General features: G+C 46.4%; 1 protein-coding gene across 2 annotated transcripts in view, besides 4 other annotated features; it reads left to right on the top strand.

The window, feature by feature from the left end:
• Positions 1,936-2,315: a silencer, noted in NCBI's record as "silent region_6887". NCBI's record gives its function as "represses an Ori minimal core promoter by ATAC-STARR-seq in GM12878 lymphoblastoid cells {active_cell/tissue: GM12878}" and the evidence as "EXISTENCE:reporter gene assay evidence [ECO:0000049][PMID:35858748]".
• The window catches only part of CHSY1 (chondroitin sulfate synthase 1), a 76,322-nt gene continuing 60,594 nt past the window's right edge, over positions 2,400-18,127 (top strand). For both annotated transcript variants that reach the window (NM_014918.5, XM_011521364.3), the window contains exon 1: positions 2,400-3,311. In NM_014918.5, coding sequence (NP_055733.2) covers positions 2,992-3,311 — 320 coding nt within the window. In that variant the 5' untranslated portion in view covers positions 2,400-2,991. The remainder of the gene's footprint in view (positions 3,312-18,127) is intronic.
• Positions 2,486-2,795: a silencer, noted in NCBI's record as "silent region_6886". NCBI's record gives its function as "represses an Ori minimal core promoter by ATAC-STARR-seq in GM12878 lymphoblastoid cells {active_cell/tissue: GM12878}" and the evidence as "EXISTENCE:reporter gene assay evidence [ECO:0000049][PMID:35858748]".
• Positions 2,986-3,415: a silencer, noted in NCBI's record as "silent region_6885". NCBI's record gives its function as "represses an Ori minimal core promoter by ATAC-STARR-seq in GM12878 lymphoblastoid cells {active_cell/tissue: GM12878}" and the evidence as "EXISTENCE:reporter gene assay evidence [ECO:0000049][PMID:35858748]".
• Positions 14,555-14,604: an enhancer, noted in NCBI's record as "active region_10190". NCBI's record gives its function as "activates an Ori minimal core promoter by ATAC-STARR-seq in GM12878 lymphoblastoid cells {active_cell/tissue: GM12878}" and the evidence as "EXISTENCE:reporter gene assay evidence [ECO:0000049][PMID:35858748]".

The raw sequence follows: 18,127 nt of genomic DNA, 5'->3' as shown, positions 1-18,127 counted from the left end.
ACAGGCCTTCATACTGGGGGTACCAGTCCTGTCCAGCTGTTTGGGTCTCTGGCTGTCACTGAAGTTCTTGATTCCAGGTATTTGCTACTGGCTGTGAAATCCCCACTTAGGATAGCCTTGTCTCCTGAGCCAGGCCCCTTACTGGGACACTTTTGGATTCTTCCCCAGGAGAACTGCCTCAGCTCAACAATCCAGCTGCTCCTTCCAGATGTGCTAGAGCTTGCCCTCCTGCTCCTAGGCTGCATGCCGGAATTGGTCCCTGCCCCTGGCAGACTTCTACAGGACCTCAGTTTCTCTCTTCTCCTTCCAACCCTCTCTTGGCCTGGCATATCCCTCTTCTCCCAGAGGGAGTTCCCGTATGTCTTACTCTCCTTCTCCAGGGAATTGTAAGCCCTCAGGCTCAGCCTTTACAAAGAAAAGGGTATCCTTTCTACATTACGAAAGACCCCCATTAAGCCTGCAGGTGAGACAGGTGAGACTGTTAACCTAGGAACTGAGGGACAACTAGGAACCAGGATATTGAGGAGGACAAAATATTTGGCATCCTCAGAATATTATTCCCATCAGATATTTATATACTTTTTTTTTTTTTTTCCTTGAGACGGAGTTTCGCTGTTGTCGCCCAGGCTGCAGTGCAATGCAATGGCACGATCTCGGCTCACAGCAACCTCCACCTCCCGGGTTCAAGCGATTCTCCTGCCTCAGCCTCCCGAGTAGCTGGGATTACAGGCATGCACCACCACCCCCGGCTAATTTTGTATTTTTAGTAGAGTCGGGGTTTCTCCATGTTGGTCAGGTTGGTCTCGAACTCCTGACCTCAGGCGATCCGCCCGCCTCAGCCTCCCAGAGTGCTGGGTTTACAGGCGTGAGCCACCGCGCCCGGCCAGCTTTTCACTGGACACTAGTTTCGAAGAAAACTAGGTAAGTCTAAAGCAGGTTAGAAAATACTGAAATCGTTGAATATGCTACAAAATTGAACATCTGAATCTGGCCAGATTCGTACTTCATGTAAATCACTGTGAATGATGGGGCTGCTGAATTTGGGGGATCTGGTGACTCCTCGGCATTTGTGGTTTATGGTCTTAGTGGAAACCTTTTTCGATGGTTTTCGAGCCTGTAATTCATGGTTGTATGTTCTGTATTTTTCCCAAGACCACTGCTGGAATCCTGTATTCACTGCATAATGAGTATTTTATTTTTAGATGTGGATCACCCCTTAGGGAGGGGCTCTGTGGGAAGGTAGGTAATGAACTATTTTTAATATAAATCACAAGTGTCAAAGAAAGTGGTAATATCCAAAGAATAAACAAGAGTGACCACCATTCAGGTGCCGAGAAGGTATCTGAAGCTCCCACAGGCATTTTAAACTGTGTGATAGTATTTCAACCATTTGGTCAACAATGAAGAAAGATCCAAGGATTGCCCCAGGCATGTGTTTATTTGATTCAATGCAGGTAACTTCTCAGGCCCAGGGAAACACTTTGCCCTTCAAAAGTTTCATTAGAAAACCCCAATATACTGGTGACTAAGTAACAAGACTGAAACTCTACACAAACTTTCGTTGTATGGAGACCTCCGCTTTTGCTGCCTTAGCTGAAGTATTGCAGAGGAAATGTATAAAACTTAAAATCCAGAGTAGAGGATCTGGGACCCAAAATCCGTCTTTAGAAATCCACGGCACTTTTACAGACGGACTATATTAAAGTAGGGACAAAGTCCCAGGCTGGGGGTACTAGCCGGCTATCTGCCCACACAGTATGTAAATGAAAGTAGGGTTTACCATCCAGGGCATTAACTTCATTTTCCTTGTCTTCGAGATCCATTAAATGCTAGTACTGTATGAGAAGCGTGGACCTTAAGTATTAAAGATGGCTTTTTCTTCTTCTTCTTCTTATTTAGCGTAGAAACTAGCAACAGGGAACAAGGTAACTGAATTCACGGTCCACTCGCAGGCGCGCACGTCCCCAGGGCTCCGGGACGGCTGTTCCCTGCGTGCGGCCGCGGGACTGCGGACAAAGCTGCAGTGTGGTCGGGAGCGCGGGGCCGGGAGCGCGGGGCCGGCCCGGCGGCAGGAAGGGCGTGGCCGTGGGGTGCAGCGAGGACGGCCCGTGCGGGAGGAACGTGCGCAGCGTGGAGTCTGGGGGCCGAGAAGCCCCCACTGCAAGGCTGGCTCCCGAGATTCGCGCCCGGGCGCCGCGGTGCGGGAAGCGGCCGTCCTCGCGGGGACGCCCTTGCGCCGGGTGCTAGGTGCGGATCACGGGCAGCTCCGGCCCCGCGGGCGCCGGGCGGGGGCCCACGCCCCCTCCGCCCGCCAGCTCCAGTCGCAGACCGCGCGGGCGGGGCGCCCGAGAGGGCTTTTTTTTTTTTTGGTCAAACTTCGGCCACGTGAACCGCCCCTCATTCACTTTTGCGCCAATCGCGCGGCGCGGACGGATCCCGAGAGGGGCCACGGCTCGCCGCCGGCGGGGCCACTTCATAACGCGCCGTGCGTGACGTGAGGGGCTCCTGTTGCAATGGCGAGCTAAGCCGGAGGATGTGCAGCTGCGGCGGCGGCGCCGGCTACGAAGAGGACGGGGACAGGCGCCGTGCGAACCGAGCCCAGCCAGCCGGAGGACGCGGGCAGGGCGGGACGGGAGCCCGGACTCGTCTGCCGCCGCCGTCGTCGCCGTCGTGCCGGCCCCGCGTCCCCGCGCGCGAGCGGGAGGAGCCGCCGCCACCTCGCGCCCGAGCCGCCGCTAGCGCGCGCCGGGCATGGTCCCCTCTTAAAGGCGCAGGCCGCGGCGGCGGGGGCGGGCGTGCGGAACAAAGCGCCGGCGCGGGGCCTGCGGGCGGCTCGGGGGCCGCGATGGGCGCGGCGGGCCCGCGGCGGCGGCGGCGCTGCCCGGGCCGGGCCTCGCGGCGCTAGGGCGGGCTGGCCTCCGCGGGCGGGGGCAGCGGGCTGAGGGCGCGCGGAGCCTGCGGCGGCGGCCCGGCGGGCGGAGCGGCGCGGGCATGGCCGCGCGCGGCCGGCGCGCCTGGCTCAGCGTGCTGCTCGGGCTCGTCCTGGGCTTCGTGCTGGCCTCGCGGCTCGTCCTGCCCCGGGCTTCCGAGCTGAAGCGAGCGGGCCCACGGCGCCGCGCCAGCCCCGAGGGCTGCCGGTCCGGGCAGGCGGCGGCTTCCCAGGCCGGCGGGGCGCGCGGCGATGCGCGCGGGGCGCAGCTCTGGCCGCCCGGCTCGGACCCAGATGGCGGCCCGCGCGACAGGAACTTTCTCTTCGTGGGAGTCATGACCGCCCAGAAATACCTGCAGACTCGGGCCGTGGCCGCCTACAGGTGAGCCCCTGCTCCCCGGGCACCGCCTCCTGCGTCCGGCATCCCGGCGGCCGGCATCCCGGGTGCTCTCCTGGCTCTCGCCTCCGCCCGCTTCCTAGGCCCTTCTTGGGCTTCCGGCGGGATCGGGTTGCCTCTCGGGAGACGCCGGGCCGAGGGAGAAAAGATCAGAGGCGGGATGGTGAGCGCGGCGCTCAGGAACATGGCCTTTGGGGTCAGATGGACTAGTGTGGCCTCGCTGGGTGTACCTCTCACCCTGATGAAGGCACTTTAGCCTTTGCAAATCGAAGCTTCTCGTTAGAAGGGCCCGACAGATCGGGTCTCCCTCATAATGTTGGAAAACTCATAGCACAGTACCTGATAGTGGAGGCAGTTGGGGCTGATACTGGATTCCCTAAAATGTGCACCTTTGTCCTTGCAAAGCTGGAGCCCGTGTACGTTAATCTAGTTCTAGAACCTTTCCACATCATACTCTCACATTTCGCAGTTGGAGGCACTCCTATAAATGAAAGAGAATGCCCGCAGCATATTGGACCACACCAGTCTGTTGAGTACAGAGAGAGAGAACCTTGGGGAAAAGCAGTTCTTGGCCCTTGGTAGATTCAGTGGAAAACTGCATTCTGGTGTTAATTAGTTCAGCTTGGTGGTGTATGCATGTTATCCAGTAACTGGGCTCTAGTTGGCCAAATGAGTCATAAAAGCAGCTGGAATTGTGTTCAGGTTTAACAAAGGGATTAGCCAATGTAGTCTCTAGAAGGGAGATGATTTTGGAATGGCTGGCATGGTTAGAATCAGATTTGTATTGGAGTGAATTTGAAGTTGGAGAGGGTTGTAGACTCGATAAAGGGATTTGATGGAAACCCTATATGTGTGAAGTATAGAGACACTTACTGTATGGATAAAGTTTGGGTCTTATCCAGCCACAGAGCAAACCAATGTGGGGAATGGTTTTAGAGCATCAGTTGTCTGGTAATGAAATTTCAGAGCAGCCAGTGCTGAGCCAGGCTAAGCTGGTTGCTGTTTGTTCTTATAACCAATACCTTTACACTTCAGTTTTTAAATGCAGTCTTGGTCAGATTTTTCAGGCACTAGATGTTGTGAGGGGAAAAGCATATATGGTCTCCCTTGCCTTTAAGGGAGAAAGTAAAGGACTGAGAAAGAAGGTGAAAGTGGTCTTCAGTGACTGCCCCTTGAATGGCTTGATCCCCATTCCTGCACATTTCCATTAGGGTCCTGCTTAAGTCCAGAACCCACATTCCGCCAGGAAGGGTCCTGAGTGGCTTGAAAAGCTTAGAATGCAGGTATTGTAAATACAGACTAATGCAGGCGGGGCGCCGTGGCTCACGCCTGTAATTCTAGCACTTTGGGAGGCCGAGGCGGGCGGATCGCCTGAGGTCAGGAGTTCGACACCAGCCTGACCAATATGGTGAAACCCCGTCTCTACTCAAGAGTACAAAAATTAGCCGGGTGTGGTGGCGTGCACCTGTAGTCCCAGCCACTCAGGAGGCTGAGGCAGGAGAATCGCTTGAACCCAGGAGGCGGAGGTTGCAATGAGCCAAGATCATGCCACTGCACTCCAGCCTGGGCTACAGAGTGAGACTCCATCTCAAAAAAAAAAAAAAAAAAAAATTCTATCTATCGATCGATAGATAGAGATACATAGACTAGTGCAGTGATTTGGGAACCAGCCTATCAGGATCTCTCCCAGATCTACCTTGCATTACCTGAGGTTTTATGGGATTTTTTTTTTTTTTTTGACCAGAGAAACAGCCGTATCGGAAATCGAGGATGAGCCATATAGATTATTTACAGCATGGTTTTGAAAGTAAATCCGCATGACTCTAGTGTGGTGATAGACCATGTGAAATCACAGTTTTGGGGACAGTTAACAAACCAGTTAGTACAAACAGTAAATTAGGTAACTCCCTTATCTCCCCCATGCCCCCTGAACCAAATACATTTTCATGGTTACGGTATCAATATATTCAAATCAGTGGGGGGCCTAATGCACCAGCAATACTCAGAAAATGTAATGCAGGCCGGGCGCGGTGGCTCACGCCTGTCATCCCAGCACTTTGGGAGGCCGAGGCGGGCGGATCATGAGGTCAGGAGATCAAGACCATCCTGGCTAACACGGTGAAACCCCATCTCTACTGAAAATGCAAAAAAAAAAAAAAAAAAAAAAATTAGCCAGGCTTGGTGGCAGGTGCCTGTAGTCCCAGCTACTCGGGAGGCTGAGGCAGGAGAATGGCGTAAACCCAGGAGGCAGAGGTTGCTGTGACCCGAGATTGCGTCACTGCGCTCCATCCTGGGGGGCAGAGCAAGACTCCGTCTCAAAAAAAAGAAAATAAGTAAAAGAAAATGTAATGCAAACTAGAACTACTGTTTCACACTTGGAGATGGTTTTCCAAACTCGAGCTTAACGCTCTTACTTTTGGCCTCCTTTCCACATCTCTTCCCTCATCTTTTTCTGGATGTAAGACTTAATCTCATTGTTTATTTATTATTTTTTTTTCAGGTGGTTAGGGGAAAGCAGAAACACAGTTTGCCCCCAGGCGGGGTTCTCCCTTTCTTTTGACACCTCTGCCTTTCTGAGAAAGGAAAACGCCTACCAGGAGATAGTGTCCAGCTAATGTCACTCCAGCTCTCTCACAGAAGTTTCCTTTTATCTCTCAGATCTTAAGAAGTCAGAGTGCATGGAGCCTGGAGGTGGACCTGCCCTGCCAGTTAGGGTCCTTTGCCTCTTGCCTGCCAACCCTGTGTTTAGACTGACTGCAGGAGTTGGCACAAGACGATTTTAGCCTTAAGGCTAAAAGTTAAGGAACTTTTGGGGAGGGCCTCAATTGGGATGGAGGTTATAGGGTATAACATATGATTCCAGTTTTACTGTGCTTTGCAGCCCAGACCAAAAGTCCACACTGAGCTCTTAAATTGGAAATTCCATGCACAGTTCAGTATAAAAGTAAGCTTGACTCTTCTAGCACAAGGTAGAACTCTAGTTTGGAAATCGATGTGCTGAGCTTTACATTTCTCCTGAAAGGTAAATTCATTCTTCATCTTATCGAAAACTGTAGTTTTGTTTTTTAAAAAAAACAAAAAAACAACTGTTGTTTGGCTTATAGATGAAGGAGATGCCAGCACTTTCAGTAAGATGATACTTTGGTGTAGAATACTGAAAATGTCAGAATTTAGGTGAAGGGACTAGTAGCTAGCAACCTCTTCATTCCAACAACTCTGAGATCCAGAAAGGGGCTAAAAAAGCTTTTGAAAATCCAAGGAGATATGCCCGTCCACACTAAAGGCACAGCACTTTGATGATAGAACATCTCCATCATTACACATTTTTACTTTCTAGACCTGCCATCTGCTTGAGGGATGGATGGGGGCCACCAAGATATAGCAGGGCAGTGACAGCTGATAGCAGACAAGAAACAGATTTTTCAAAGCAGGCGAGACAAAACTCAAAATGTAGCAGGTGAGAGACCAGCCAGGGCTGAGCTTTGGAGGCCCTGAGTGACACAGTAGCTGTGGAGTTAATAGGAGTGATCCTGATTCGTTACTTAGGATCCATTTCTTTGTAAAGCACATGCATGCATGGCCCCTCTGGCCCCCGACCCTGAGTCCTGGGGGACACTGCAGTACACGGCTTGCTGTCATGTTCTTTAGTCAGAGGGACGACACTAAAAAGAGGGTTTCTGCTAGTGATGGATGCTGTAGAGAAAATAGAACAGGGTTGGGGCAGGGCAAGTGTGTCCTCTCTGTGTTAGGTGATTAGGGAAGAGTTTGGAGAGAGTGCCATTTGGGCTGAGATTTGATCATGAAGAGCCAGTTGTGTGAATATCATTGATGAGCATGAGGGCCAAGGAAGCACCGGGAAGTCCCAAGGCAGGGACCGGCTTGGAAAGGAACACCAAGAAGGCCAGTAAAAGAAAGAAAGCCAAGAAGGCCAGTAAAAGAAGAGCCCCAAGAAGGGGCTCGCTAGTGTCCAGTCTTGTAAAGTTTCATTCTGAGTGAATTAGAAAGCCACTGGAGGGTTTATGCAGGAAAAGGAGGTGGGTAGCTGGGGTTCTGTAAGTTAACACATAAAATAATTTATTTTGACTCATCTGCAAGTGTGTGTTCTAGGTAATTTCGCTTTAAAATGGTACTGTGATTCCTCTGAAGTCATTTATTATGCAAATTAAGGACAGCTTGTCAGAACCTCTGGGTTTCTTGTGTCTTGCATTACTAGCTGCAATTCGTATTTTTCCCATATTTAAACATTTTCTTTTTAGTTATGTTCTGTGATATATGGAAGGGAAATGTTCATGTAGTTCAGTCTATGTCTTTCCCTTTCTGATTTTAGTTTTCTCTACCCCAGGTTCACAGTTACTGCCCTGGAGAGATTTTTAAAGGTAACGTTTCCTTCCTAATTCTAGAAAGGGTAGAAATCATCTCAACTTTATTTTTTCCCCAAATAGTATGTGGTCGCAGCACCATGTACCGTTGACTAAGTTCTCATTTCCCTACCAGTTTGAAATGCCATCTTCGTCATGCTCAGAATTCTTGGGTATGTTTCTGGACTTCATGTTTTGTTCCGTTGAACTTTCTGTCTGTTCTTGTGCCAGTACCACCCATTGAAATTATTGGAGGTTGAATAATATTTTAATATCCGGTGGACAAGTTCCCCTTTGTTATTCATCTGCTTCAAACATTTCTTGGCTACACTTACCTTTTCTTGCTGAGAGAGTTTCTGTGCTATTTAGATTTTTTTAATCAACGTTTTGATTAAAAAAAAAAAAAAGCCACACGTATTTTGCTTATTCGTCCATTTTTATGCCCAGAACCTTGAGCTAATCCAACACCTTTTGTTTGTTTTGGTTCTTACCCTCTCTGGGCTGAAGATGGGGAATAGTTTTGTTCTTTTTTTATGTTGTCAGAAGAAAGAGGTGGATGGTTTCCCTTCTTTGCGCCAAGATTGAACAAGGGCACCATTACAGATTAGCATCAGTCTGTAGGGGACTGTGGGAAGAAAGTTTGAGAAGCATTACCTAGAGATATAGGAATCTGATTTCAGGATACTATTATCAGTGAATGATCTCTTCCTAATGCCTTAAATGAAGACGGACTGTTCCTCTACCAACCTTAATGAGATCCTCCTATCTTATAAATCTGAATTCATTTCCTTATTTCTTGAGCTAAGTAAACCATGTTTATCTTGAAACAGTTCAGAGCAGTCCTCACTTTCTTAGATAGAATTCAACTTGGCAAACATTTATACAGAAGGCTTTTCCATGTAAAATCCAAATAATCAACCTGTAAGTGAACTTTTGGAGCACCAAGTCATTTCAGATCGTGAATTTCCTGTAGGAGACTAGGGAACCATGTGGCTCTGAAAATGAGTGTAGTTTTTTATGTCAGGTTCAAGATCTTGAAGCGCTCAAACAATATTCCAGGGATTTCCAGGGATGGCTGTGGCTGTCAATAGCGGATTGATTCCAGGGATAGATGTGGCTGTCAATAGCGGATTGTGCGTGACTGTTTCCATTGCACCGGCAGCTTCACGTTCCCCTGTCTGTTAACTAAGCTGCTCTTTATTAACAGTAGATTCCAAATACAGGGCCCTAGTCTCTGCAGAGTTCATTGTCTCAGAAGGAAACGAGCGATGGTATTGGTTGATGAGGGCTGTCAGGGTGCGTGAACTAATCACTGTGGGGGAGCAGAAGAAAGAGGCTTACACCCAGTGGGTGATGGATCAAGAAATGTCTCACCCACACTCCCACCCTTTTTTTACCCACTAGCTGAGTCTTGGAAGATGAAGAGGTGTTTTTGAGGCAGAGACAACTACAGGTTTCCTACAACATGAAATGGCAGGAGTTAGTGAAGGAGCGATGGGAAAGGCCAGCTCTTTGGGGCTAGGTGTAGGCTGTGGGTGGTAGAGTGGTGGGCAGGGACATGGAGGGAAGGTCTGCGTGCCAGGCTTTGTGTGGTTGCTGTCCAGAGCTATTGGTGACATTTCGGCAGGACAGTAGCCTGATGGGATGTGTGTTTTGGAAGATCAGCCCAGCGGTGTTGCTGCTGCAGAGGGTGGCTAGAGTTGGTCAAGTACCGGTACCTAGCTAGAGCTGGACAGGACCGGTACCTGTTGAGGGACGCTTGGGTAGCATTTATCAAGAAGTCTAAAATGCAGCTCTCTTGAGGTCTGGCAATTGCTCTAGAATTTTTTCCAAAGGAATTTTAAAGGTGTGCTTAAATGTGTACATATGAAGTGGAAATTTCAGGTATTTTAGGTGTCCTGCTTTAGGAGATAAGGACCAAAATTGACTTAACTGATTCATCCATACTGTGGTCTGCATCTCTAACAAGTAAAAATGGTGTGGCTGAAATACTTTTATTGACATGAGGAGAGGTTCAGAATATACTTAAGTGAAAGTAAACTGTAAAACAGTATGGCCAGTACAAAGCCCTTCTGTGTTTAAAGTAAAACAAAAGTGTATGTTTGTGTAGCATAGAAAAGGAAACATCAAAGGATGTACTCACTGTGATGCCAAGTGATCTTTTATATTCTTCTTAGCTCTTTTCTATATATTCTGGTTTTTCTACAGTAAGCAGTTATTTTGTAATAAAGCTACAGTAAAACCACAAAAAGATGTCAGCTCTAAGAGAAACTGCATTCCATTTTGAGCACGTTAGGCTGCTGGTGTGGAGGTCCGCTAGGCACAGAGCTGCAGCCCGTTCTCGTTTCAGTCAGTTACCATTAATTCTGTCCTGAAGTGACAGAATTAGCTTAGCACACATTTACTTGGTTAGTGTCACAACCGTTTTCCTCAGTTACTGTAACTTCACGCTTCCAGGTGACATTGGGGAGGATCTGGTGGCAGCATTTTCAGTGCAGGGGCCTCAGCTTTTGTATCTTAATGTAAATACTCAGTGCTTCCACCTGTTGTTGAGGCCTTTTTGGCTTCTGGTTCCGGATGGCATTGGGTGAACAAGAAAACCTAGCTACAGTTTACAAGCATAAAAGCTGTCCATCTTCTCACCTGAATTCAGTGTCATCTCTGAAGCATTTATAGCTGCAGCATTTTTTCTGTAGACAAATACATTTTCTGGATGATTACAAATAAGGTCCAGTCTGCTCTGATGTGGTGTCAAGTTGATGCCTGTAAACCAAAAGCCTGAGGATTATTGACTGTAGGTGTTGAGGCCATTGAAATTGTGGTTTTCTAGGTGGACCATAGGCGCAAAGACTGTTACACTTTGCTCGGCGTGTTTGGTAACTGATGGCAGTGTCTGCAGGTAATTGGGCACAATTTAGAGGCGCACACGGATCCAGACACAGAATGTGGCCTCAGAAGCTAACACTGGAATCAAGTTGTCTGGCCTTCAGTTAAATCCAGCCCAAGCACTGCAAAGTTGTCCTTGACCGGCAGGTTTTGTCCAGGTTTTCAAGTCGCCAAGCCATGCATGCTGGGAGTGGGTCTGAAAGTGGTTGAAGTGTGTGTAAGGCTGGTCTCCTTATCCACGATGACTGTTTGTTCAGCCTTAGCAGTGTCCGTGAGCCTGGAAAAGTGATGTGGGTGACCACCTGGGAGGCGCGTGTGTGGGATGGAAAGCCAGTGTGGAGGCTGTGGGGCCAGGGTGGCTGGTGACTGTGTTTAGGTGGGCTTTATAGAGGACGGTGCCTCAGTTCAGGGAGACGGTGATTTGCAAAGTGGTCGGCCAGAACAAGTTCAGGGTGGTTTAATTGTTTGCATTAAACGATACTGATTTTTGGTTCATGTGGATCATTAAGTATTAGTCGCATATTTATACTTTTAAGGATACAGCAGCGATATGCAAATTATGAAAGGAGCTCTCCAACACTTTCAAGCTTTGGAAATGTCTCATGAGATCAGAATTCGTCTTCTGTCATTTACACTCCAAATTTTAATTGTGATGTTTCAAAAGTGGCCTATTTGTGGTCTCTGTTCCCATTGTTTGCCGTGAACCTGGGCTCAAAGGGCGGGCTCCTCGTAGCTCTTAATACCTTGGAATGCCGTCTGGGCTTGTGCCCAGGCCATTGTTGAAGTGGGAGGCTGTAATCCCCCCTGCCAACAGCTTAATTAAGAAAAAAAAGGGCTCTTTACTGCTTGCTTTCCCCTCAAGTCTATTTTTTAGGATGGACAGTAAGGAGTATAATTTGGTTTTTCTTTTAAAATAATTTTCCCACCATTCACAGCCTCTGTTACATTTTCCCACCTCCTTTCAAAAAGGGTTTGAGATTGGACAGGTCATAAGGACGTGCACGATGAGACAGTTAAAGGTTTTGAAAGAGGAAACCACATACCCGGAAACCACATGCACAGAAGTGGGAAACTGCAGCTGAATGCATTTGCTGCAGAGCTTTTGGGACCAAGGCAGAAGATGGAGATGAGGGATTGAACAGTGTTTGCAACATCCTGCCAGAGGGGATTCCTTCCGGCCGAGGAGAGGCCCGTGGCATCACTTGGTGGCCTTGAAAGACCCCTCCCTTTTCTGAAGGCTGTGGCTCTGGCTGGCAGCATAGAGTGGTGCCCTCCGTGTACTCTCTTGGAGGATGAACTTGGACTGCTGCTCCATCACACTGTACTTCCTGTAAGGATACCTCCATCATTGACCTTGGGAGAAGTTTCCCTCAGGCCTTAGTATGTTTTTACACTTAACCCTGAACAGTAGGACACAGTCTCGTGACTTCTCATGGCTGCCTGCTGAAAAGTTTGTAGCTGAATTTGGGCCCACCACTAGCACATCCGTAGGTCACGTGATGGCAGGTAGGTCTCAGCACAAGAGCACTTTGCAGTTGAAGTGGTGGCTCCTGAGAGTGCTCTCACTGAGTCAGGGTTTGCCCTGGGCAGGGCAGCCTCCACCAGGATTTGCCTTTCGTTCCTTGCGTAAGGGTTTCCTACTCTTACTTTTCTTTGGTCTCATTTTCTTGCTGATTTTTCTCATCCTGTATGATTTTGGTTAAGTTGTCTTAAATCCCTTCTGTAACAGGGGAGAATGTAAATACAGCTGGCCCTGCTATCTGCTACATCTGTGGATTCCACCATCCATGGATTGAAAATATTTGGGGGGAAAAACAATAGAAAATAACAATAATAAAAACAATACAAGTAAATACAATATAGTATAACGACTATTTACATAGCATTTACATTGTATTAGGTATTATGAGTAATCTAGAGACTATTTAAAGTATACAGGAGGGTATGTGAAGGTTTAAGCAAATACTGCACCATTTTATATCAGGGACTAAAGCGTCTGTGGATTTTGGGGTCCTGGGATCATTCCCTCTTGGATGATAAGGAACAGCTGTATATACCCTTAATTCCTATTATCCATCAGTTCTACAGAGAGAAAAACCCATATCCTCCCTTCTTTAACTTCCAAGATGATTTTATCATGAGTCCTTTTAAACTGACTGCCGTGTAGCCATCAGACAGCACATGTAATAGTGATTTTGGGGAACTCACAGAAAATCTCCCCACCTTTTTAATGGTAACTAGTAGAATAACTATTAAAGCTTAAAAATCACAATTGAAACGACTCAATCTTACTCCATTTTTCTTTCAGTTTTTCTTGTTGGATAAAAAAATTTTATTACAAAAGTAAAAATTCTCTGTTGTTACATGTTTTGATTTCTTTGGTTGCTTGTTAGCCTCAAAGCTTTTGCCCAGTTAAAACTTTTTTTCCAGCTCTAAATATACCTGTTGCAGAAAACTTAGAAAATTTAGAAAACACAAGGAAGACTATTGGCCGGGCGCAATGGCTTCCGCCGGTAATCCCAGCCCTTTGGGAGGCCGAGGTGGGCGGATCACAAGGTCAGGAGTTCGAGACCAGCCTGACCAACATGGTGAAACCCTGTCTCAACTATAAGTACAAAAATTAGCTGGGCGTGGTGGCAGGTGCCTGTAATCCCAGCTACTCGGGAGGCTGAGGCAGGAGAATCGTTTGAACCTGGGAGACGGAGGTTGCAGTGAAATCACGCTGTTGCACTCCAGCCTGGGCGACAGGGCCAGACTCCGTCTCAGAAAACAAAAAAAAAGACTATTAAATCCTTTCTGGTTTTCCCATCCAAAAATAACCACGGTGAATACTTTGGGGGTGGAGTTGTACGTTATTTTATTTTTGTATATGTACTTTTGTTCCCTTGGTAAGCCACATCACAAGTATATACTGTTGCCTGCTTTTTAAGCTTACCCGTATATTATGAATATTTACCTAGGACAAGAGTCATGCTATAGATGCAGTTTTGTACAGAAGTGTATTTTATGTAGTTTTTCTTAAAACAACACTGAATGGAAATGGAGACTATGATATTAACCCATTTATGCCTAGAGTTCCATTATTGGAACGCTAAGCTTGTGGGAGTTATTTATATCCCGCTCAAGGTTATCACCAAAGTCTGATTTTTTTTCCACACAAAAAAATCGCAACCTCTGACATAAATGGGTTAAGTCCTAACCAGCAAAGGCATTCCTTAGCTAAGCTAATACTGGTCCAGCTGAATTACTTAACTGTGATTTGACTCAGTGTAGGAATAGCGTTTAGAAACCTAGAGTGATGGAGGATTCACTTGGCACTCTCAAGTTTCAGCTGTCTTATCTGGGCTTGAGCAAGGGTTGGACATCAGTTCATTGAAAATGAGCTTTTTCTGGCAAGGCCTCTGCAAACGTTTTGTCATTTCAATTAAGTGAGAGTTCTTTGCTCCCGGTAACAAATGTGTTGATGGCAAAGCTGACGTTTGCTTATGAAAATGAAGGAACTGGACTTGTTGATATTGCAGAAGAGGGGACAGCTTGCTTCTTTGGGAGCATTCCCTTCAATTATTTGAAATTATTAATGCATCCCCTCCTCCTCCTCAGGATGGTGGTGAATCACGATTTATGTTCCTGAACTCGTTCACTTTGTGGAGCTCTTCAAGTTAAAGGACCCTAATTGAAAAGATTATAATTTCTTAAGATTGGAGGGTTTACAAAGACTTGACATTGAGAGATTTCCCTCAAACCAACCACCAGTCATTTAGAACAGAAAAGGACAACATGAGGTTTTTCCCTGAGTTACCTAAAAAGGAACAGATAATAATTGGGTGGAGTTACCATAAAACTGTAGGGTTGAGGTTAGACTGTTTTTAAAATTAATTGGTTTCTCTTCTTGGGCAAATTACACCATTTCAGTCATAGTTGAGACATTAATTGCGTCTGTGCTGGTTGTACTGCTGGGGCCTCTTTCACTGTGTTCTTCCTGGTGGGGTACACGGGAAGCAGGGCCAAACTATAATGAAGCTTCATCCTCAGTCTAGTAGGGAAGTTTCTCGTGCTCTACCGCGAAATGCTCGTGAAATTTGCAGTTAGGCCTCTTTCCTGTAACATTGTCTGAAGTTGATAGTAAAAGAGGATTTCAGTACATAGCTTGAGGCTCAGGTTTTAAGAAGCATTTTCCACATTACCTTTGCTCCGTGTGCTCCTGAGACTGACTAGTCCACGTGGAGCCCACACTTTCCTGTTCTTTCACTACCTTATTTGATTTGCAAACTCTTGTCTTCCTTAATAATAAGTCATACTTACATAGTGCCAGGCAGGCTTCTAAGCTGTTTACAGAGAGCTCATTTAACCCTCACAACAACCCCCGTTTACAGATAAGGAAACTGAGGCACAGAGTAACTTGTCCCAAGTGGAGCTGGAGTTCTCGCCCCCATGGCCTGATTCCAGAGCCAGCTCTTGCGGTGATGCTGTAGATTCGCCTCCTTAGTTGGTTGTTCTTTGAAGGCAGGAATTGTCTCGCCCACCCCATCTCCCAAATAACATTACAGTGTTTTAGTATTTTCATGGCTTCCTAGGTTGAAAATTTCTCAAAGTACAAGATAGAAATGATTTCTGACCTTTTGCAAACACGTGTGGCACCATTAAGTTACTTATTGTACATGAGTGGGCAGTATTCAGTGCACACATTTAGTGACCTCTATTATGTGCCAAGCACTGAAATTATTTACATTTTCAAAGAATTGTTGCGACTGCCAAATGAAAAACATTTCTCTATAAAGAGAGCATTATCAGGGGCTCCTCGACTTGAATGGGGGGTCATTGCACTATAATTTTGTCCTTACTAACTTCCCAAGGCTGGAGGAGTTCTGAGAAGTTATCTCCCCTCCATATGTCACCGCATCAGAAGACTCTGTATAGCTTGTCACACATTCACACATTGTCGCATTTGCAAAAGGACTTGTCCCTTTGTAGGTGGGATTGGTTTTTCTTTAAATTAATTTCCACATCTCTACGTTTATTCTACATCCTTTTTCTTCAGGAGCATATCCTTTGTGAAAATGAAGTGCAGTACCTAGAACAGTATCTGTTAATAACCGTGGAATGAATGTCTGGGCTGAATTTGTTTTTTGTTGTTATTCTTGTTCTTTGTTAATGAGTTATTTAAGTGGCGTAAGAATACAGGTCCATTTTAAATCCATAGGCACTAAGGGAAAACATTAACAACACCATCTTATATCCATTCTGTGATTTTGACATCTCAGAAATTAGGATGCATTTTATAGTTACCGGCGTCATGGGATTATGATTGGCAGTATTTTTTAAATTTGTTGATAGATAAAACAATGGTGCATCTTCCAGTTAACATCCTAAATGTGATGAAAAAATGTATATATTTAATCCTTGCACTTTTTGAGAGGCGTGTTGGCAGAAAGTCGAATTCCATTGAATTTTGCCTCTACTTGAAAGAGATACATTCGAAGTTGTTTTGTATTCCTCATATTTGGGTTTGGAAGAGAAATAAAAGCCAGTCATTTGTTTTCCAAGTGCTTCATTGTAAGTTCTTTTTAAAATTACAAAAGTAAATATTTAGAATCTCAGTTTTGCAAGATGAAAAAAGTTCTGGAAATGGATGGTGCCGATGGTTTCACAACACTGAATGCTGCTGAACTTTACATTTAGAAATGGTTAAGATGGTAAGTTTTATGTTATGTATATTTTATCACAATTTTTTTTAAAAAAAACAATATGATACTTATGCAGTTGTCCTTCAATATAGAGATGCATAGAATAAAAAGTGAAAGTCACCTTTGTCCACACACATTCCAGCTCCTCCCAATTTTCCTCCTTGTGTACCTCTTCCGCAGAGATTTGGTGTGTATCTTTTCAGATATTTCTCTCCTAAGACTTTCCCTTAAAGATGTGTGGGGGTTTCATTGATCCTTCAAGTAATTTTTCACTATAATAAATACACTTGTAACAGGTAAAATAAAAAATATTTGAAAGAACATCATTTGATAACTGCTTTTTTTATTTTAAGATTAAATTTACTATTTTATTTATTCTCCACGATACATTTTTCTTGGAAGTAGTCTGTATGAATGAATTATTATAGCCAAACAACTTTAGATCTGAATACAGAACGTGAAGAAAGTAGGAGGGAAAGTGCGATATGATAGCCTTCAATTAGCTGCTCAGCAGAAGCAGCCTTTACGTGGTTTCCTCGCAGTTGACCACTCATCTTCCCTCTGTCGATGGGCAACCGTTGTCTCTTACACCCTTTACGTGGTTTCCTCGCAGTTGACCACTCATCTTCCCTCTGTCGACGGGCAACCGTTGTCTCTTAAACCCTTTATGTGGTTTCCTCGCAATTGACCACTCATCTTCCCTCTGTTGATGGGCAACCGTTGTCTCTTAAACCCGGGTCTGGGCTGCTGCAGTAGTTTACTCAGTGGTCTTCCTGTGTCCACTCTGGCTTCCTTCGGCCTTCTTCTCCATTCCTAGGGAGTTCAAAATGTGTGGGCCTTAATCTTGTCTTCTGCCGCATTCCCTCTAGAGGCTTCCTGTGGCTCTTGCAACATAGAGGCCTGCATCTCTAGTGTACTCTGCCAGGCCTTGCACATTTGCCTCTGTTTTTTTTTTTTTTTTTTTTTTTTTTAGATGGAGTCTTGCTCTTTTGTCCAGGCTGGAGTGCAGTGGTGCGATCTCGGCTCATTGCAACCTCTGCCTCCCGGGTTCAAGCAATTCTTCTGCCTCAGCCTCCTGAGTAGCTGGGATTACAGGCACACGCCACCATGCCTGGCTAAATTTTGTATTTTTTTTTTTAGTAGAGATGGGGTTTCACCATGTTGGCCAGGCTGGTCTTGAACTCCTGACCTTGTGATCTGCCTGCCTCGGCCTCCTAAAGTGCTGGGATTACAGGCATGAGCCACTGCCCCCGGCCACATTTGCCTCTATATTAGTCTGTTCTCACACTGCTGATAAAGACATACCAAAATAGGTAATTTATAAAGAAACAGAGGGGTTTTTAAAATTATTTTATTTATTTATTTTTTTGAGACAGAGTCTTGCTCTGTCTCCCAGGCTGGAGTGCAGTGGCACGATCTCGGCTCGCTGCAAGCTTCGCCTTCCGGGTTCATGCCATTCTCCCGCCTTAGCCTCGCTAGTAGCTGGGACTACAGGCGCCCGCCAGCACGCACGGCTAATTTTGTTTTTGTATTTTTAGTAGAGACGGGGTTTCACCGTGTTAGACAGGATGGTCTCAATCTCCTGACCTCATGATCCGCCCGCCTCGGCCTCCCAAAGTACAGGGATTACAGGCTTGAGCCACCATGCCCGGCCCAGAAACAGAGGTTTAATGGACTCACAGTTCCACATAGCTGGGGAGGCCTCACAATCATGGTGGAAAGTGAAAGGCACGTCTTACTTGGTGGCAGACAAGAGAGAATGAGAGCCAAGCAAAAAGGGAAACCCCTTGTAAAACTATGAGATCTCATGAGACTCACTCCTGACCATGAGAACAGTGTGGGGGAAGCTGCCCCCGTGATCCACTTACCTTCC

The sequence above is a fragment of the Homo sapiens genome, chromosome 15 (genome assembly GCF_000001405.40).
Source record: "Homo sapiens chromosome 15, GRCh38.p14 Primary Assembly".
NCBI classification, from domain to species: Eukaryota; Metazoa; Chordata; class Mammalia; order Primates; family Hominidae; genus Homo; species Homo sapiens.
Note: the sequence above shows the minus strand (reverse complement) of the source record. Positions and strands in the feature narration are given on the sequence as shown.